This window comes from Homo sapiens, chromosome 11 (genome assembly GCF_000001405.40).
Source record: "Homo sapiens chromosome 11, GRCh38.p14 Primary Assembly".
NCBI classification, from domain to species: Eukaryota; Metazoa; Chordata; class Mammalia; order Primates; family Hominidae; genus Homo; species Homo sapiens.
The window spans coordinates 115,475,919-115,498,600 of NC_000011.10; the positions used below are offsets into that span (position 1 = coordinate 115,475,919).

Sequence of the window (22,682 nt, forward strand, 5' to 3'; positions counted from 1 at the left end):
AAAAGTAAATTTCAGTTTATGTAAATTTAAAAATAAATCCTTAAAGGTGTAAATTAAAATTACTGCTAGCAAAAAGGTTCACTCTTATAAAATAGTAGTGGGAACTCAATGAAATGATGAATGTAACTTGCTCATAGTAAGCACTTAGCAAAATTTTTAATTATTATGGTATTACCAAAGTCTCAGTATTTAATATGCAATTCACATTCAAATTAAATCAATATATTTATCAAGAACCAATTATGTCCTGGCACAGAGTTGGCTTCTACAATATATACAAGCCATATATAGTATCTGTACTCTCAAGAGTCTCAAGAATATAACTTATATTCTAATTTTATAATATAAAAACAAAGGTTAAAATTCAGTTATAAAATTATCTTGGTCAAAGTCAATACTAAAGTATCTAAACTAAAAGATGACCAAGACCAGATAATCCACGATCATTTCCATGTGGTTTGTAACTATACTAGAATGATTGGTGATTTGTTTGTTTGATTGTTTGTTTGTTTGTTTTTCCTCTGAGGCAGGTTTATCTTAACTTAGAGGTGGAAACCCTTTGTTACTTAGTCCAGTGTTACAATGGGTTTGCATGCTCTCTGCATGCATCAGGAGATGGCAGCAGGAGGGGGCCAGGAGCACGCTGCGTGGTAGGAGAACATGATCCTAGAATTAAACATTCTGTAGGGCATAATTTACACTAAGAAAATGCAGACCTTATTAGCATCACCGGATACACAAACAGACTACTCAACATTTACACAATGATAAGAGAATCAGGGTGATAAAGACTTCCTAGTTAAAAACTCTCCTGGAAGAACGATAACTTAGAAATCAACAACCGTATATATCTCATAATGAGGTACTTAACTTTGTCATCCTACTATGCCAGCAAACAAGCCATGGGGCACACATAATAACTGAGAGTTAACAGCATGCTGACGTCCACTGAAAGAGACAGATGACACTCAAGAAATACATAACATCCAAGCCCTTTGGTAATTTTATTTATTATAATCTGCCACCTTCATATCAATGATTTTCAAATGGTAAATCTTAAAATAAATATAATGGGCCACATCCAGCATTTCTTTAAAAAAAAGAAAAGAAATAGACTAGAACTGAAGAGTACAGAACAGAGTCGGGCAGGATAGGGCAGGATAGCATAGGGTAGACAGGATAGGATGGTGCACAGATTAAGGTGGACAGGATATAGTGGATAGGTTTGGATTGATAGGAAAGGGAAAGGAAAGGAAATATGAGAGCACAATGAAGAAAAAAATCAAGGTACACAGAATGCAGTAAAGGATAAATACACCATATAAATTTATTGTGCATACAGTTGCATGGATCATGGAAAAAAAAATTAAACACTGCCTTAAATCTTATCCAAGGTATAATAACATCTTAACCAAAACCTCTTTAAAGGCTATTTCCATTCTCTTCCCAAGGACAAGAATCCAATGGTTATTTCTAAGAAGAGGAATTGCCTATCCAGCTTCATGTAACCAAAGCAGACAGGAAGAAAATTAAAAATGTAAGCCTGTTTTCTAAACTTGCATTAAGTCAACAGATCCATAAAATATATCCACAATGTCAACACTGTGACCTAAAGTCTACCTCACTTTGTAGCTTTCTCCTAACAGATATCATCACTGTATTGAAACAGTAAACTTCACAGCAAGGGTCTGGAATAGTGATTTCTGCTCCACTCTGTGTGCTAACAAACTAAGCTTATACATTGAAAATGGCAATAAACGGCCAGACCATGTGCATTTTCTTCCTAATCCTATTTGCATTGATGACTCCTCTGCAAAAAAACAAACTGGCTGCACTGGAGAAGTGTCTTCTCCAGATTGCTGCTGCAGCTGGGGTCCAGGCAGAGCCTGGGACCAAACACACACAAACACAAGAAAACTTTACATTCAGTGCAATGGAGGCAGAATCTAGAAAATTGCATCCAGATGAAATCCTGCAGAATACAGATTCCATTCTATTCTTGTCCTTGGGAAAAGGGTGGAAACATGCTTTTAAAGAGGTTTTGGATAAGAGGTTCAATTCTACTCAAAATTAATTGCCTAGGAATTAAGTCAAAAAGGTAATAAGTTAATGCATTCCTGATCATTAATCAGAAAGTATCCTTTGTTCAAATTCTACATTAAAATATTCCAGTTTTAAGAAATTTCACGTATCCCAATAATCATTCAAATACTTTTAAACTATAAATTATACATAAAATTCCTAAATCTTCTGGTATTGTATATGGAGATCATATAATTTTAAAATAAAACAAATCTAGTAATCAGGCCAGCAATAATGCTTTAAACAAAAGACAAAGTCCATCAAAGCATACTCAATAGCAACTAAAATGTAAATAAAACAGGTTACCTTGCAAAGTGATAATCTAAAGTAAAGGATATATTCAGAAAATAACTGAAAATGTGAAGAAAAAAAGGGGTAAATATCTAGAAAAGGCTTAAAAATCTGTATGATGTTTCAAAAGACATAAATATAAATACCTCTTTAAACTCCTATGTATCTAGACAAAAACAAAGAGTAAATAAACGATTACTGCAAAGCCTAATGTATTTACATACCACACCCATTTCAACTGATCTTTTTAGACCCTTTAAATACAGCTTTGTATCTTCTCTCTTTCTCTAATTACCAAGGTAACCCAAATTCACTACAGAAATTTTAAACAATATGCAAAGTTAACTCAGAAAGTAAAAGTCCTTCATAATCTCACTCTCTAGAGATAGCCATTGTTAAGAGCTTTCTGTTGATTCTTCACATTTTAAATGAATATGCCAATTAGATAGTATGCATTATAGATTAATTATATATAAAATACTTACACAGTGTTCTACAGTATGCTTTTCTTCACCTACTGATACACCCTGGAAGTCTTCTCTTGTCAGTAGATATAGATCTACATCACTCTTTTTAATGGCTACCAAGTATTCCATTGTATGGACAGATCATAATTTATTTAACCAGTCCCTTACTGATGGACATTTGGATTGCTTCCAATTTTTTGCTATTAAAATCTATGCAGCAGTTACATCTTTCTACGTATATATTTGTGCACTTGTAAAACTATGTCTGTAGACTGAAGTGATTTTGTTTGGGGGTAAAAGAATACAATAAACGTATAAAAAATTATTCACTTAGCTTTAATTCACACTACCATAAATCATCTAGAAGTGGCAATTGCTCTAATTGCTTAATTATTTTGATTTTTATCTTTAAGACTTTTTTGAGAATAATTTATTCTACTCAAAATTAATTGCATAGGAATTAAGTCAAAATGTAATGTTAACATATTCCTGATCATTGATCAGAAAGTATCTTATGTTCAAATTCTACATTAAAATATTCCAGTTTTAAGAAATTTCATGTATCCCCAAAATGATTCAAATACTTTTAAATCCCACTTTAGACTTGGAAATTCATCTTAAATAGATTCACTGTAATCACAGTTTCCTATTTGTCTTCCAAAAAAAGAAAAACACACAAGGATCCCCATCACACATAGAGCTTCAGAACCCAACCCAAAAAAACGTACAAAATTGTCCCTCCTAAATGAGTACATAAGAAATTCAAATACAAAAAGTCATGACATTTGGAGTCTGATTTCCAATAAATAACCCTGGACACATTTCATGGCAAACAAAATACTTGCTGAGAAATATAGTTACCAGGGCAACCATAACTGTCCTTTTATGTTTTATTTATCAATTGTGTTGCTGAACTATTCTCATTCTTGGAAACAAAGGGGAAAAATGTATTATAAACAGTGATAATTAATTAAGGTTCCCCTGCTCCAAACTAAATCACTCCTACCAAATCTGTGTTTATCCAAAAGACATTCTATTTTCTGCTTCTTAGTTCTTGTCTAGGCTAAGGACATGGATGGTAGATCCCAAAGAAGCATTCACAAGTTAACAATATTAACCTTAACACTCTAGATGGAGAGACTATTAATATAATCATCAATTCTCAACAGACAACAGGAGAGATATGGAAATTCTTTGCTGTGGCATCATCACCTAGTAAATCCTCTTGAAATATGGAATGAAAGAATTTTAAAATGTGTGAATAAATCTACTTATCTTTAAAATTATAAAGTTTGTAAGAACAGAAATTCCAAACATTTCAGCATTTAAGTTTTACCTTTTTACAGGTCCCAAATAATATTCTCATCTAATCCAGTATCATCTCCACTTAAGAAAAGATACCTAAGTCTATTTATTTTTAGCATCCTAGAATACTGTTATACCTGCTTGAACTCCACAAAGAAGAAAAACAAAACAAAACAAAAAACTGGAAGAGAAAGAAAATGGTGTAGAATTCCCAGTGTACAAAATGGGAAATTAAGAGCATTTATAATGAGTGGGATTTACTAATAATCCTTATCAAGGAGGTAGCAAGGGAACAACAAAGAAAACCCTGAGCTGCAAGTCAGGCCTGGTCTTAGCCCTGGCCTTGGATCCACTTGAATAAGTCATTCACTTTTCTGAGCTGGTCTCCTCATTTACAAGATGAGGGAGTTCTGTGTGCTCTCTAAAGTCCCCTTCAGCTCTAAATTTCCATGATACATTGACCTGCCTTCCCTCTGAAAGGGAAGGAAGATATCAAGGACATCTCAGACTGGTCTCTGGGAAGAGTGACATTTCAGTCTGCTGCTCAGACAAGGATAATCAGCACACAAGGGGCCTTGGGTCACTGCAACGTAATGTTTCCAGCCTCAGCTGGTTGCTTCCTAGAATTTCTGAGTTCTCCTGGAGGGAGAACATTTCAAACCTTCCCAGTTTCTCACCCTGCACAGCTCCATCTCACCATCAACAGGTTTAGCATGGGATCCTACTTTCCCAAGAAGGTTCTCCCTCCCTCCAGGCCTCAGCCCTGCAGGGTGCAATCTTATCTACATCCACCCTCCTTCTTAAAGCCTTGCCCATTATCTCCACCTCAGAAGAAAACAATGGTCTCTTGCCCCCACCCCTCTCAGCAAATGCCTCCTCCTGAGCCTCATCATGGCCCTTGATGGTCAGTGATCAACTCTCACTTTCCTATTTTTCATCTCCCTCTGTAATATCTCTTATTTTATGATATATATAAACCTTCTCACACCTCCCTAATTCAAAAAAATACATACTTTAAAATTTCTCTAAGTTCTACACCTCCTTATTTCCAGTCCCCTTCTCCCTCACCCTACCTTTACCAGTCAAGCCTCTTCAAACATGTGTCTACAGCATGCTTCCTATTCTGCACTTCCATTTGCTCCACGCATTGCCATCTGGTTCCCACACTCACTGCTGCACTAAAATTGTAAGGTAGAGGTCCCCTATGAATACCTAAGTTCTATAGCCATGGTGGCCTCCCTTATCTTATCTGAATTCCCTGTAGCATTTGACACTGTGGCTCACTCACCTTCTTAGATGCCAAAACAAAAGGCTTTCCTGGCTTTCCTCAAAGTCTCTTGACAGCCCCTTCTTCACTCCTCTCACTAGTTCATCTTCTTCTGCCTACCTTTAATTGTTGACGTTCCTGACATTCTGTCCTTAGCTTCTCTTCCTCTTCCATATACATTCTTCTTAGGAGATCTCATCCATGGCCATGTCTCCAAATGAGTGCCACAGAGTGCTGCTAGGTATCTTCACCTGAATGTGCCTCCAGCTCAACTTCTGCAGGGTCAAGCACATCCTCTTTAATCCCAACACTGTCTGCTTTCTAAATTTCCTGTCTTAGTTACTACACCCATCACCTACTTAGGCAGCCAAGCCAGAACCTGACCATTAACCTAGACTCCTCCTCTTCCCACTCTCTTGATCAGTTATGAAATTCTACTTTCCTAAACATATCCTGAAACCAACTTCCTCCCAAGCTGCCTAGCAACTACCTGGGTTCTGGCCCTCAAAATTTCAGCTGGCCTTCCACAGCTGCTCCCTAACTGCTCTCCTACCTGAGTCTCTAATCCTCCAGATTCGTCCTGCACCCTCCCGCTCCCCTCATTGACACTCTCCATGGAATAAAACCCAGACTTCTCTTTATTACCAAGTTGGTCCTGTATGATTTGACAATTGTGTACCCTCTCCAGCTTCATATTTTGGTGCTCCTTCAAAGGCTATTCCCCTCAGCCATAGCAAACTATCTGCAGTTCCCAGAATCCCCCATGCTTTTGTCTTTCCGCCCATTATCTCTCTACCTGGAAAAACTCCTCTAATACCGTCTCTATCTGGCTATCTCCTACCTACCTTTCAAGGCTCAACTCAAGAGACCCCCTAGAAGTCTTTCCTGACTCTAAGTCTCCATAGTGAGTTAGACATTCCTCTTCTATGCTTCCACAGCACTCCTGAACTATATCTATTATGGTTCTTGGCACATGGTATTGTTATTTTTACTGTGTCCTGCAAAAACATCTAAAATATAAGTTCCTTGATGGAAGAGAGCCTATATAATTCATCTTTGTAAACCTAGTGCTTATCAGTGTCTAGCACATAGTAAGTGATACACACACACAAACACATACACACACAGACATGCATGCATTTTCTCAAAAGGATGAGGACAAAATTTAGTCACATTAATTTTAACTCTTAAACAGTACTTCCTGAAGCTTCTCTATATTCACTGTAGCCCAGAGCCTTCTTGAGTTGAATCACAAGATGATTTCATTTGTCATTGGAAGTAGAGGTATTTATAAACGTGTTTCTCTTATAAGATGGTTAATTCTGTTTGGAAAATGTTTGCTGTGCACTAGACATCATGGAGTCCCCTAAAGAGTTAGCTCCTTTAAGGAGCTGACAATCTCACAGAATCTGGAAGATATACGCCAAGAAAAAGGTTGTAGTGAGGTTTTGGCATATATGCATTTCTGTGCATTAATATTTTTAAAAATATAATAAAACGAATAGGACTACACATGAAAATTTTGTTTTCAAAGAAAATACTCATTCCTTATATTAAGATTTGGAAGTTAATTCAAATGTCCTTCTGCCATCTCTCAGTTTTGTTAGTTATTAGGCTTTAAATCACTGTCATTGGGCAAGCAGTGAACACGGAATAATTATTTCATACTTTTCCCTCTCCTTCTCTATCATCTTTAAATCCACAATATCTCAATCCAACTGATGTCAGTAAATCCAGTCTGTCCCAACTTTTCTCTAAAACTCTTAAAACTATTTGAATGAGGTGTTGAGCAGCTGTCAGTTATGGATTTGAAAATAAAGACGAGTCTGAAAATTATACGTTCAGTATAAAAAGATTAGGTGAAGCAATTCAGAACGTTTAAGAACTTTAAATCAAGTTAAAAGCAGTTACTATGGCCAGACCTCATGAAGCTCTGCTTAAGAGTTGCATTAACCTGGCAGTCAAAACTATTTAAAATGAATAATGTTTTTTTCACATTTCACTCACTTTCAGCATCACACACACACAAAAATAACAATGTGAATTGGCATACGGCAGTAGAGTCATGTAACAGTAACCTTCAAGATTTACCTTCCTAAGGACAAAGCTAGAGCTATTAATCTATGCACTAGATGAGCTACACCCATCTAAGGCCAAAAGGGGTAATTCTTCAAATGAGGAAAGGACTATTAAGATATTCCAAAGGCTTTTAGACATGAAAAGCAAGAGGAGAGTCAAGAAAAATTCACAAGCCCACAATAGCTCAGTCCAATGTTCAATATAAACCTACTAAATTTGGAGTGAATATCAATATAACTCAACCCTCTTCCAACCTCCTCTCACTAGTTAAAAATACCGATGAGCATGAGAATTTGGCTTTTTAAATGTTTTTTAGTCTAGAGCTATGCAGCCCTATATGGTAGCCGATAAACACACATGGCTACTGACCTATAAATTAATTAAGATTAAAAATTCAGCCCCTTAGTCACACTAGCCACATTTCAAGTACTAAATAGTCACACGTGACTAGTGGTTACTATACTGAACAGCACAGATATGGACTATTTCCATCATCACAAAAGTTCTATTAGACAGCACTGGAGGCATAGCCAGAAAAAGGATGCCAAACTAGCCAGCCCAGGTTCCAGAGCTCTACTGATCAACTGAGCACTTTTTGGTCATCCTACCCATAGGAGACCAGTCATCTCCTAAAGGTAACATGCAAAATGTCCACAAGGATGTGTCCTTTACATAAAGGAGTTAAGAAAATGCAGACTACAACTCAGCATGTTTCCACATTAGGCCTGAGCTACACTCTCTCAACTGTAAATCAAAAGGCTCCCACACATCAATTTCATTCATGACCCCCTACTAACTAATATGGGCTAAGGAACCATGCACAGTCTTTCTGGATGTCGTACAGCATGCTGAAAACCAGGGGGCAAACATTAATCTACCTAAAGAATAGGAGTTGCCATTAAGCTGACCTAGATTCTTCCTGCCATCCGGAAAGTGCTCCCTGTGCTACACTAGGATTTGTTTTTGCTCTCTGGTGGTACTTGTTAAAAGCTGCACATGTCCAGAAAAACAGCTTCCATCTATCCTCCCTCCATGCTTAAGCCTGCCAAAGCTGCCATTGGTCATGTGAAATACAAGGATAGTCGTGAGGTTTATTAAGTTTCTCTGTATCCAACAACTTCAAGTATCTTAATTAAACATTTTAAATAATATGGACAGGCTGAACTGGCTCTTTCTAGTTCCCTATACCATGGTAAAGACACAATTTGGCGTACTGGTATGCTACAGTGAGAAATGGACTCCAATATAAAAACCTGGGCCGGGCGCGGTGGCTCATGCCTGTAATCCCAGCACTTTGGGAGGCCGAGGCGGGCGGATCACAAGGTCAGGAGATTGAGACCATCCTGGCTAACACGGTGAAACCCCATCTCTACTAAAAATACAAAAAATTAGCCGGGCGTGGTGGCGGGCGCCTGTAGTCCCAGCTACTCAGGAGGCTGAGGCAGGAGAATGGCGTGGAACCGGGAGGCAGAGCTTGCAGTAAGCCGAGATTATGCCACTGCACTCCAGCCTGGGCAACAGAGCGAGACTCTGTCTCAAAAAAAAAAAAAAAGAAAAGAAAAAACAACCTGGAATCTTGTTCCGGTGTTGCCATATCCTAGCTTTGTGACTGGCTAAATCTCTAAGTCGAATCCATTTGCTTAAATAACCTCTTCCCCAGAGTTCATTCACTTTCAAGACAATACACTCACCTTCGATGATTCTTCTGCACCTTGGTTAACAGGCTTTCACCCCACACCAATCCTGCCCATCTTCCACCTGGTACTGACTCCCTCCTTCTTCCACAACTTTAACTTCCAGTCCTCTGACTAGTCCTTTCTGGCATTCATCACAGGCTGTTTATCTTGTTACCAACACACCTTCCTTAAGATTCAACCTCTCTGCAGCACCCCTTAAGGATCTCTCATACACTTCTGCCTGTCTTCAGCACCTAATACAATGATTGGCACACACTGGGCCTTTGAATAAATGTGTATTAAAGAAGTAACTAAATAAAAGCATAATGTAAAACTTTTGCTACCATCTTGATATGGTTTGGCTGTGTCCCCACCCAAATCTCATCTTGAATTGTAGCTCCTGTAATTCCCACGTGTTGTGGGAGGGACCCAGTGGGAGACAACTGAATCATGGGGGCGGTTTCCCCCATACTGTTTGCTTGTCAGTGAATAAGTCTCACAAAATCTGGTGGTTTATAAGGGGAAACCCCTTTAACTTGGCTCTCATTCTGTCTCTTCTCTGCTGCAATGTAAGATGTGCCTTTTGTCTTCTGCCATGATTGTGAGGCCTCCCCAGTCACATGGAACTGTGAGTCCATTAAACCTCTTTTTCTTTATATAAACTACCCAGTTTCGGGTATGTCTTTACCAGCAGTGTGAGAACGCTAAGACACATCTCTTTGCAGATGACTTTCAAATCTGTATCTGCAGCGCTGCTCTCAACCTTTCTACTAAACTCTTATTTCAAACTGCTTTCTAAACATTTCTACCTGAATGTTCCAGTGATAACTCAAGTTTAACATATCCAAAACCAAGTTCATTGCATTCCCTTACTAAACCCACATATAACATTTACATTTTTGTTCATTAGAGTAGTCATTCTCCTAGTCATTCAAGTCCAAAATCAAAGCACACCTTCATTTCTATTATTTGTTTTCCCTCAATCCCCATTCTCTAGTCAGCCATCAATGGAGGCTCCATTCTACCTCCTATTCTTCCTTCACTGCCCTAATTCAAGTTTTTGTTGTCTTGCTTGAACTATTATACTCCTAACCAATCTCTCCATTTCTAATGGAAGATCCTCTCAATTTCTAATCATTGTAGGACTCATGAACCTCTCAATTTCTTATCATTGCAGGATTCATATTCCTAAAAAACCAACCTGATGTTACTTCACTGTTCAAAAAATTTAAGACTCCCCAATGACCTCTTGAATTTATTTATTTGTTTATGTATTTATTTTTTGAGACAGGTCTCACTCTGTTGCCCAGGCTGGAGTGCAGTGGTGCAATCACAGCTCATTATAGCCCCCATCTCCCAGGTTCAAGCAATCCTCCCACCTCAGCCTCCCAAGTAGCTAGGACTACAGTTGTACACCACCGGGCAATTTTTTTATTTCTTGTAGAGACGGGGTCTCACTATGTTGCCCAGGCTGGTCTCAAGCTCCTGGGCTCAAGCAATCCTCCCACCTAGGCCTCCCAAAATGCTGGGATTATAGGCATGAGCCATAGTACCTGGCCTTGAATTTCATTTAAACCTGACATTCAAAGTTTTTCCACAGTCTGGCCCCAAACTATCTGTTGCTAATCCCATCTCTCACTAGCCATTTTAGTTTTCCTACCTGTAAGCCTTTATTCACATGGTTCTCCTCAACATGGAATGCCTTTCCTTCTCACCTCTTTCTCAATAGCAATCCTTCCCATATTTTCGAGACTTTGTTTAAATGGAAAGCCTTCTAGGCATCCCCACTCCAGGCTAGCTCCCTCCTTTATATCCCTCTAATGGAAAGATAGAGGTGCCCGTGATCTGAAATCTCAGCTCCTGAACCAGTTCTCTGCTGTGGCCACAGTCCCACCTTCCAGAACCCCAAGGAGAATACGAAGAGAGGAAAGGTCAGGCAAATAAGTATTCTTTGTTACTGCCTACGGCTTTGGTCTTAGCCCTGATGTGCTCTCCCAGTAACCAGGCTTCATTTGCTCCAGCCTTGTTGTTTGGAAATTGAAAGATTCATTAAGTCCAGTGGTTTTTAAACCATTTTTTAAAAAAGTAAAACACTTTTTTCAAAGAGAATCTTATGGGGGAGATCCAATGTATGAACATGGAGTTTCTCTTGTTGAAATGGTAGAGTGCTTTGGGAACTAGCACCAGATAAACGTTATCAAATGAATTTAACTTCGATCAGTTATTCCATTATAAGTACATTATATATTCATCTTTTTAAAAAATTTATCTTTTTCTTGCTCCTTTAGTTCATGAAAAGTTCAGGTCAAAATCTTGAAGGTGATGACCTCATTTAAAAAAATCCTAAAACCTTGAAAAATATTCTATTAAAACATAACTCTATGCACTCACCTTATGAAACAAGGATAAAGAGATGTAATCACAGGTAAATTAATATGAAAATGGGAGATCATTTTCGGTTAAAAAAGGTGAAAAAAAATCTGCTACTATCTTAGTCTGAAATTCTAACTTTCTAGATCTGATTCATGCTGTTGCATGAATGGAATATAATGCTTGAGGAATAATAATTCAAAAGGAAAAGAAAACTGAACAGTGGTTAAAGAATCATCAACTTGTTTTCATGCAAATGACCAGAATAATGAAATAAGCAATCCTGCCGACAGGCCTACATGTAATTGTTTTTAAATAGGATGCTTGAAGCATTAGCCACCTAATTCTAGAAGAAATTGATTCATCTTTTCTTCTTCTTGGATAATACCAATCATATACTATACATTAAGACACTGACAAAAATTTGTATTTCAAAGATACAATTTTTCTTGAACATTGCCATCAAATCATTATTTACTTGACAGTAGGTCATGCTGAAAAAGATATATCTGCTGAGAGTTATGATGGAAAGAAAGGTTAATGCCTCTAACTTAAAAGGTCCTTTAAAAGGCAATCCCTGGAAAAAAAAAAAATCTACCAAGAAAAAGAATATGGCACTTGGTAGAAATCAAGGAAGACATAGCATTCCTCTCAAAACTTCAACTAATTGCAATAATCCACTCACAATGCCTAAGAAATGCAAGCTGTGTAACCTAAGACAATATAGAGCTATGTAGCTACAAGGCAAGCATCAATAAAATACTAAGATTCTCCATAATTCAAAGCATTTAAAGTACCAAACACAGACTAGGCTGGATGCAAGCCTTAGGCAGGGAAAAGGGAAGTCTAAATGGATGGATGTGACTATGAAGGGAACACTTTAGAACTAAGTCATACAAAAACAAGTTATGAGAGGCCCTCCTCCCCCTCCCAATAATGTCAGGAAGTTAGAGTTATTGAGTAGGCATCACTTATGACAGTGAGAAAAAGGGCTTGCCACCCCCTCCTCTCAAAAACTCCTTCACAAGGTCACAGATACATCAGTGTTACAAACGCATTTAAAAAATATTACAGCAATAAACTCTGGTTAGAGTGGTTCCACCTCTATATTCACAGGAAAGAACAAACTCCAAACTTCTCCTAAATTAAAAGGTAATGTTAGCAAACACATACTCTCTCTGCCTACACATGAAATCTCTCCCCTCTTCTACACAAGACCAAAAGGAAACCTACTTTCTGTTTAAAGCTAGATCAGTTGTAGGCAATTAACTTTATAAGCTTAACTTTGCCAGTCCTATTTCACAGACTGTATAGTCACACAAATAGTGGAAGCATCGCCACAAAACAGACTGCCTTACCCATGTCATTTTTTTAAACACAGCAAAAAGCCATTTCTCAGGTTTGATCCGATTACTGTGATCTATTTTTTGATCCTGTAGCCACTGACTCCAGATACATCTTTATTACTGTACAAGGAAAACTGTTACCCTGAGGTTTAAATTTCCGTATGTTCACCATGCCTCTTCTAAGAATATATATATCTCAGTTTTAAGACAAGCCTCTCATGAAAGCTGAGGTGAAGAGGAACAGATGACCTCAGAGATAAGTTTCTTGGTTTGTTGCTTCAACTCTAAAGTGACGATATAGCCTCAGCAATGACTCAAAGTCTAGGTATCCCAGGACTGTGAAGTGATTAAATAAATGGAAAGAGATTCTCTTATCTGGACTGCTAGACTAAATCTCTTTAATGATTGCCCAACAACCAAGTATGAACAAACACACTAGAAGTCATTCCTTCAAGATACAAAAGTCAGGCACGTTGATAGCTCTTCATTCATTATGGGAGAACAAACAACTTCAACTAAGAATTATAGCCCTAAAAAAGCTGATAATAAGACCACCACTAAATTAAATTCATAGACACTAAGGCCTTGGCATATTCTGTATCCCAACAACCAGTATTTATAAGAAATGAAAAGGATAGGATATATACATATTAGAAATCAAATTGTGTAAAAAATGTTAAATGTCATGAAATGGTTAGAGAAGTTGTGACAGAAGTTGAAAGGAAAACATATTCAAGCTGAGAAATTATGTAAGACTTAAAAACACTGGACTTCGGTCTTTACATATACATGGGATTTAAATATGCCTACGTGGAAGGTATGAGGATAGGACATGTCTATTGGTGGAAACAAGTTGGACGAAATGTGTAGCGGGCATATAGAAGAGACTCAGGCCATTCAGAGAAGTCTGTTTGATAGGAAGGAGGAAGATAAGTTAGGAGTAGCCCTTAGGGAAGTACAGAAGAAGGGTTCAAAGAAAAGATACCTAACCAGCCTGAGTAATCATGGAAGTTTCCTTTCAGAATGCAGTGCTTGAGGTGAATCTTGAGAGAGATGTAGGAACTAGCCATATACATTAAGGTGCTTAAGGTAGAGGAGGTAGCATATAAAAAGCAGAGAGGCATGGGAGAGCATGGTGCATCCAGGACACATTTACTCTGGTAGTCCTAAAGCAAAAACAATGGTGTGGAGAGCCGGCGAGGCCAAGCATGAAGGACACTGCAGGACACACTGAAAGAGGGTAAGCCTCACCTTTAGGGTGCCAAGAAAAACATTTAAAGTTTTGAGCAAGAAAGTGACATCTAAGGTGTATTTTAGGAAGATTCCTCTAGAATCAGTGTTAAGGATGCATTACAAGGAATGAGGCTAGCAGTAAATGAAACAATTAAGGGGCTGTTATACCATTGTAAGTCTACTTTCCTCGTCTGTAAAATGAAGACAGGCAGGACCTATAGCTAATATAGGGGGAGATGATAACAAAGGAGGGAATTCTCTATGAGGACTCCCAGGTTTATTTAACTCATTGGATGGATGGTGGTACCCTTCATCAGAATAGGAAACATGGAATAGAGGGAGATGTGGGAAGAACAGATTTTTTTTTTTTTTTTTTTTTTTTGAGACAGAGTCTTGCTCTGTCGCCCAGGCTGGAATGCAGGGGTGCGATCTCAGCTCACTGCAAGCTCCGCCTCCCAAGTTCAAGCAATTCGCCTGCCTCAGCCACCCGAGTAGCTGGGACTACAGGCGCCTACCACCACGCCCGGCTAATTTTTGTATTTTTCAGTAGAGACAGGGTTTCACCATATTGGCCAGGCCGATCTCGAACTCCTGACCTTGTGATCCGCCCACCTGGGCCTCCCAAAGTGCTGGGATTACAGGCGAGAGCCACCATGCCCGGCCAGAACAGATGTGAAGTTCAGTTTTAGACGTCTTGAATTTTAGGAAAATGCAGTTAAGTGTTTAAAACTGTGGGTTTTGAACATAGATATAGTTCAGATCCTGGTTCTGATACTTACCATTTGTGTTTCTTGGACAAGGGACCTATTACTGTCCTCTCCTCTTCCTCTTCTGTAAAATGGGGCAACAGTGGTAACTATAGGGTGACAGTGAGGATTAAATGAGATCATGAATACAGACACTAAATATAACTGCTGTTTTGTCATTCATATTATTTGAGATAACTGGAACATCCGGACTGAGATGTCCAAGAGGCACTTTTAGAACATAGTCTGAGGTTTAAATGCAAAAGACATCTTGGTTGTGCACTTAAAAGTAAATTATACTGCAATTAAAAAAAAAAGTTGGAAGAATTGGGGTTTGAGGCATTTATTTGCCAACTTATTGGATAAGGAGAAGGGTTAAAAAAAGACAGCCGATCAGAAGCAAGGTAAGGCATGGTTATTAAATATCAGAGACACGTTATATTGTATGAAAAGGGCAATCCTTATTTTCTTGCAAGTAACTTGATGAATTAAAAGAAAAAAAAGGCCGGGCGCAGTGGCTCATGCCTGTAATCCCAGCACTTTGAGAGGCCGAGGTGGGCAGATCATCAGGTCAGGAGATCGAGACCATCCTGGCTAACACGGTGAAACCCCATCTCTACTAAAAATACAAAAAATTAGCCTGGCAAGGTGGTGGGTGCCTGCAGTCCCACCTACTCGGGAGGCTGAGGCAGGAGAATGGCATGAACCTGGCGGCGGGGAGCCTGCAGTGAGCCAAGATTGCACCACTGTACTCCAGCCTGGGCAACAGAGCAAGACTCCATCTCAAAAAAAAAAGAAAATAAAAAATGAATTCCTTCCACTATCCAAGTAAAACTATGAACTTGGAAGGAAGAAATGGGAGAAAAGTGAAAATAGTAACTTGGAACCAACCCAAACTTGGAATAAAACTTGGAACCAACCCAAATGTCTATCAATGGTAGACTGGATTAAGAAAATGTGGCACATATATACCATGCGATACCATGCATCCATAAAAAAGGATGAGATCATGTCCTTTGCAGGGACATGGATGAAGCTGGAAACCATCATTTGGAGCAACCTATCACAAAGACAGAAAACCAAACACTGCATGTTCTCACTCATAGGTGGGAATTGAACAATGAGAACACTTGGACACAGGGCAGGGAACATCATACACCTGTAATGGGGTGAGGGGCAGGGGGAGGGATAGCATTAGGAGAAATACCTAATGTAAATGACGAGTTAATGGATGCAGCAAACCAATATGGCACATGTATACCTATGTAACAAACCTGCACGTTGTGCACATGTACCCTAGAACTTAAAGTAAAATAAAAATAAATAATTAAATAAATAAAAACAAAAGGCTTCTAAAGTAAAATACAGCCAAATGAGGAGGAAGGTCATCATAACAAATACGAGAACCTAGGATTTGTCAAATAATACATATTATAGGCAGATATTAACAAAGGCTGTGTGAAAGTTTAAGAGAATAGAACACTACTCATTATATTTTCAAAAGGAAAAATTGAAAGGATATACAAGAAATGTATGAAATTGGCAACTATAGGAAGTTGGGTGGGAATGGTACAAAAAACATAGGGAACGAAATGAGAATGGACAGTTTTGATTTTGAGCCACGTTAATGAGTTATATGTTCAAATTATAAATCAACAATGATAGGAAAGAAATTAAAACAAAATATAAACAGAAATAAATGATCCTAACTGTATACCTATTGATACATAACACACACACAAAAAAACTAATCTGTAAATTTGTGAACATGATACTCATCTACCCTCAGTGGGATCTATTTTAAAGACAAAAAGAGTGGCAAAAAATCCTGCGCTCTACTTGGTAGATTTGTTGTCTACAATGGTCTTGGTGGAGTAATTCCAAAACTATTTTGTACTAAAAAGACGTTGCTATCACTGGGAAACAGAGTTTTCACCATGGGAGAAAGAAAACACAAATAAGGAATGGGAGATGGAGAGAAAGTACCCTCAGATGTTAGACTGGAATTGAATGTATTAGCATGACATTGTGATTTAAATGAATAAACATTTTTAAAATACACTCACACAGTTGACCCTTGAACACAGGGCCCCTACCCCCATGCAGCTGAAAATTCACATATAACTTTTTTTTGAGACAAAGGATATTTTATACACACACACACACACACACACACACACACCCTTGTTTGCTCACGGAAAAGTTTAGAAACAATGACAAGTCAGTAGCAATGAGCACAATTCTTAGATGTGTCCGCTGTCTAAATATCATTCTTTGACTAAAAGGAATCAGGATTCCTTGGAGAAATAACTGATTCCAGGTATGGGGGCAGGAAAATACAATGTAAACATAGATATCTTCTTGTGACATGAAATACAAAAGAGCTTAAAAATTAATGAGAATATATTAAAAGGATACAGGAGCCACTCTGAAGGGGTTCCCACTGGCCAAATCCGATGGTAATGAAACATACCATACTGAACCCATTGTAATTTTCTAAAAAAAAAAAAAAAAGAGGGGGAAGAGTAGGGAAGGCAAGCTCTTCTTTATTCAGAAATGCCTCTACCCAAGTAGAGGAATTACAGAATTAGAAAATCACAGTTTTATAACCACGGACATAATATTTGATTCAGACAAGGTTTACCAATGCTGCTCAATCCATTAAGTAAAGGGCCATTAGAGAACAAGATCTTCAGGCTCAAAACTAAAGAAGACAGAGGGCTCTTCACAACGAAGTTTGCTCACAAGATATGTATACACAAGGTTACTTATTAATTATAAAGGGACAAAAATGGAGAACCCTACAAATTCACCTACACTCAGTAACTAAATTTATATCTTGAACCAAGGATCAAGCTAGTAATAGGGCAAACTGATATTATGTCCCTCTTGAGGCAGTGTTACAAGGAAGTTGGCAGTATCAGCTATGCAGGGTTCTTGCAAAAGATGTTTAATCTGAACTGAACCATGAGGAAATGATCAAACAATTTGTAGAACTACAGAACATTCTACAAAAGAGCAGGTGGATTCATCAAAATGTCAATGCCATAAAAGATACCCCTTAAAAACTCCTTAAAGAAAAAACAGGTGGCAAGCAGGGTAATGGTTCTAGATTAAAAGAGACTAGAGACCATATCCAATGTGTGATCTCTGATAGATTCTGCAGCAGAGAGAACAAAGTAACTGGGGAAATATGAACATAGACTATATAATTTCAATGTAATAATGGTATTGCGTGTGCCCAGGAAAATGTCTTTATTCTTAGGCGCTACATGCTGAAGTATTCATCATGATGCAATGTGCTTTCATGTGGCTTAGGGAAGAAAAAAGATGAGTATGTGTGTATACATTATTGAGAGAGAGAGAGAAAGCAAATGGGGAAAATGTTAACAGTTGATGGATCTAGGTAAAGTAAATACAAGTATTCATTGTATTCTTCTTTCAAGTTGCCTGTGGTTTTGAAATTTTTTGAAATAAAAGTTGAGGGAAAAATAGACTAGAACCTTCTGAAAGACAAAGATGAACCTAACACAGTGTCTGGTATAAAAGCAGATACTCAATTTTAAAGTCATTTTTAAATGCTCATTTTTCTACCAAATGTCTTATGGGTTAGCTACAGAAACACCATTTCTTTATTAAACATAGTATATAAAATATAAAAAACTGCATGAAACAATATGTCCTTTCTGTATTAGAAGACCCAGAAATTAGAGATTATAATCATTGTCAGTTTCCCCAAGATTACAAAATGATTCCATTTACTTATCAAAAAACATTCAACTCCAGTTAGGATCTTGCTGTCACGGTGTTCTTCAGTTTCACCTTAGAGATGACTGAGTACATCCTGAATTAATCCTTTTTACATAGTATTTTCTTTTTCAGTATTCCCTAATGTGGAAGACTTACAAAAGTTATTATTATTAGCAGTAGCCAGAGAAATAACCCCCACCACTAGGTATTGCTGTTTTAATAAAAGTGATTGATAAATAGAGATAGGTAAATAGGCAGAAAACACTTCCTACTTAAGAGTGTTCATATATATTATTTTATTTTTGCCATCTTGTAAAGTAAGCAGTTTGATTAAAGCACTGGGTTTTACTATCCTGTAATCTTAACTGGGTATTCCACTTGCCAACCTGGCCCAGAGATGGAGAGATTTGCTTCAGGAAAGGGAAATAAACAGCAACTAACAATTATGTGATTACTAACAAAACTAAAGAAGACAGAGAGCTCTTCACAATGAAGTTTGCTCACAAGATATGTACGTACAAGGAAAAGTGAAATTCAGTGTATTTAAGCTAATCTCTACTTGAACCTTTTAAAAGATAAAACCATTTGAGCAGTAATTTAGTACTAAATTAACTTGGTTTTTTTCTCCCTATCTTTGAAGTTTTCATTGTTTAAATAAGGGTTTCTGCAAGAAAAATGAAGCAATGCTCCTTTTTTATTCAAAAGAAGAAATCAAGGGGATGACTTGTAACATCCAGGAGGCTGGATTTATACAGCCATATTCAGCAAAGAGCCAAATAAATATATACCACATAACCCATTCCCCAAAACTGTCCCAAAATACTTCAAGATAATCAACTTTTAAAATCACTGTATTATCATGCTGCATAGCCTTTTTCTACTAGCAAGAACTGAACTCTGAAGGGAAGGGTGTCAGGCAAGCAAAAAAGGAAGGAAGAACTCTGGCAGATATTGCTCCCAGATAAAGGCTTTGAAAAGATCCTTACGATAACAAATTTAGCAGGTAGACTGAGAAAGAAAGGTTTCATTTTTTTGTTTCTTGAGCCAGTGATAATCCACCCTCTATGTTATCTACCAAAATGCAAAATGTAACTAAATTCCTAGACCTGTCCCGATGCTGGCCTGGCAGTGACTGATGGCGGTAACTTCATTTAGCCAGGCAGCTCTGCTCCCAAAGTCAAACGTGTTGAAAACACTAGCTAATAAAGGCCTGGGTTTTAAAGCACTTCCCTTCCATCTCTCTGGGTAGATTTTTTAGGATTTATTTTATTTTATTTATTATTTTCTGGTAACTAGGTAACTACACGCACCAGACACAAGCACCAAATACTCCTCTAAGGTGGTGGTATCTCTTGGATCATCTTCAGAGGAGCCAATCTCATTCACCCCAAGTCAGCAGTTCCACATGAGGCCCTCTGACTGTGACCCTTAAAAAGTCTTCCTACTTCTAAAGGACTTCACTTTTTGTCTGAAAGTCTTACTTTGACAGCTTGTAATTTGTTTAGTCAATTACACAATTTTCATGCTGTAGGAAATCCCCATATTCAAATACAAACTACCAAATGGAGACAATACATTTTCATGAATGTATTGTTTTAAATTTTCACGAAAATCATGGCCATAATATCAACACAGTTTGGCTTAGCATCAAGAAACATAATCATGTATAAACCTGTGAAGTCAAGAAAGAAACTTGTGGGTTGAGGTACCTTTTAGGTAAGTATGTGTTAGTTAAAATGAAAGATGTAAAAGGAAGGTGTTTATTCTCAATGTAGGCAAAGAGAAATCAGCCATCCTACACCTACAAACCAAGACAGTTAGTTAAGGGAAAAAAGATAAAGAGAGTATTTTATGCAAAGGTAACCAGCTGAAGGCTGATAGGCAGAACCACTTTCTTCCTCAGTTTCACTGGAGAATCATCAGTCTTCCAGTCCCATCAGGATTAAGCTGAAAAGTAATAAGAAATGAGGGCAATAGAGAGGGAGTGGGAGAGCAATTGAGGAAGAACAACCTAAAGACAAAACAGTGTGGAGTTTGAATCTGATGCAAGAAGTAAGAATTTGAGATTAGGTTTCTGAATGGGAAATGTTATGATCCTGTCCTGAAAAGAATTAGAATTGCAGTAGCTAGCAGAGGACTAGAGTAGGGGGAACTGGCTAGGAGCCTCCTGTTAGCAAAACACAGTTTGGAGAGGGCACTGATGTTTCCAGAGAATGTCACTTAGAAACAATCAGCCCCATTTTATTTCAGTGCAAGCAGGAAAGCTAAGGAGGGGAAAAAAGACTCCAAATTTAGGGGCCTTGGAGACCAGGATGTCAATGGTGTCATTGGTAATAATGGAGACTTTGAGAAAAGTTGATACCTACTGCAAAAAGATTAAAGGTTCAAATTTTTTAAACGTTAACTTTTAGGTTAATCCCAGCCAAGTGGAGATATGGCACAGACAATGGGAGTCAGGGAACTGGAGAACCCTTTGTTTTCAGGCAGATTCTTCCCACCTCCTCTAGGGACGGCATAACTCAATTCCAACTAGACACTGCAGTCCAGTGCTGGACAGCCAACGAGGAATCAGAGCACCTACCTTCCCAAGGAAGTCTGCCAAGAGCAAGATACTTATTCTAGGCATTTTTAAAAGTCTATGTCACTGGAATATCAACTTCAAACACTGAGTAGCATTTAAATATATATCACAGCACTTTCATTTCAAGCCTATTTAACATTTCTGAAATACCTAGATCAAAATGTTAGGTCAAATGCCTGTATTCCAGTAAAACATCTACTAAAAGAAAAAATTTCTCCCACCTTATCTCCCTTAAGATAATCACCTCATTCAAGACACCTGTCAGTCATAACAGGTTTTTCTCAGTGCTGGGTTTTTCTCAACCTTAACACCAAGTTTCTTTTGAGTAATAATAAAGGCCACACGTCATTTGAGCTGTGCATTTGTATAAATATCTACATCGCCCTTTTTTCTAACCCTAGTTCAAGGCCAACTGCACCAAAGCTTTTGAGAACCAGCACTTGGAAGATCTTCAAAGAGAAACTGCCCATTAACCACAACAGCAGCTGCTGGCTAGAGCCTGCAATTTAAATCTCTGAAAAAGAAACTGTGGCTTCTGAAATTTAAACAAGGAGGTGCCACTTGTAATTACAAACATTCCAGTGGGTTCCTTCCTTCATTGATGGTTTCCAAACTAAGGCTTTTTATTCGATTTTGCTGGTGCTCCCCAAATCGTGAATGTAGGCATTCCTTTGTGCTTTTCTTGTGGCCTGGTCAACTCAGAGGGGGCGGTGCAGGGGGCAGGTTTTCACCTGTCCAGGGCCATTCGGACCCCTCAAAATCATCTCATGCATAATTCCCTGTTTGTCTGGAAACAAAAAAACCAAATGTTAAATGCTTCAGATTTATAGTCCATATTTAATGAAATTTTTGAGAAAGAGCCTCAAAAAAAAAAAAAAAAACCCTCACATTTCATGAACCTTGGAAAACGGAACAATTTTCAGAAAAACCAAAGACTTTTTGAAATTAACACTGAAGCATTCCAACATTTCTAGCTGAAGTTAAAAATTCACATTTTAAATCAATGGAGCAAATATTAAGAAGTAAAGGTAGTAACCTTTTCTCTCCCCACCATCCTTCACCACCATCCCACAAAAATAAGGCCCAAATACTTACAGCCTGATGCATGAGTTTCCCACACCAAAGAAGGCATTTTGTGATCACTTCAGTTACAGAATAGCGGCTGAAATTAGCACTTAGCCAGTTCGAAATGGAAAGAGACATTTTTATTTTAAGCAATATATTCACAAAATGCAAAGGTATTTATACCATGGAGGCCTTTAAAGACAAATATACGAATGGGGTATCTCATAGTCATCAAACTAACATGAGCCTTTCCTACAGAAGTCCTCACATGGACGGTAATCATTATGGGAACAATTGGAAATGGCCAGTCTCGCCAACGGTGCTTTCCAGCGCACGCCACAGTTGAGGGACTAGCTACAATTACTGCATATTTACACAACTGTATTTGCACAACAATAAAACTCATCTTATCCGATCCAAACAA

The 22,682-nt window shown here is 38.0% G+C and overlaps 1 protein-coding gene across 6 annotated transcripts in view, besides 1 other annotated feature; it reads right to left on the bottom strand.

Moving 5' to 3' along the window:
- CADM1 (cell adhesion molecule 1) overlaps positions 1-22,682 on the bottom strand; it is a 335,180-nt gene that overhangs the window by 306,683 nt on the left and 5,815 nt on the right. The window lies entirely within an intron of this gene.
- Positions 297-964: an enhancer, noted in NCBI's record as "NANOG hESC enhancer chr11:115346934-115347601 (GRCh37/hg19 assembly coordinates)". NCBI's record gives its function as "activates a minimal SCP1, AML or CMV promoter by ChIP-STARR-seq in primed H9 embryonic stem cells {active_cell/tissue: H9 hESC(primed)}" and the evidence as "EXISTENCE:reporter gene assay evidence [ECO:0000049][PMID:30033119]".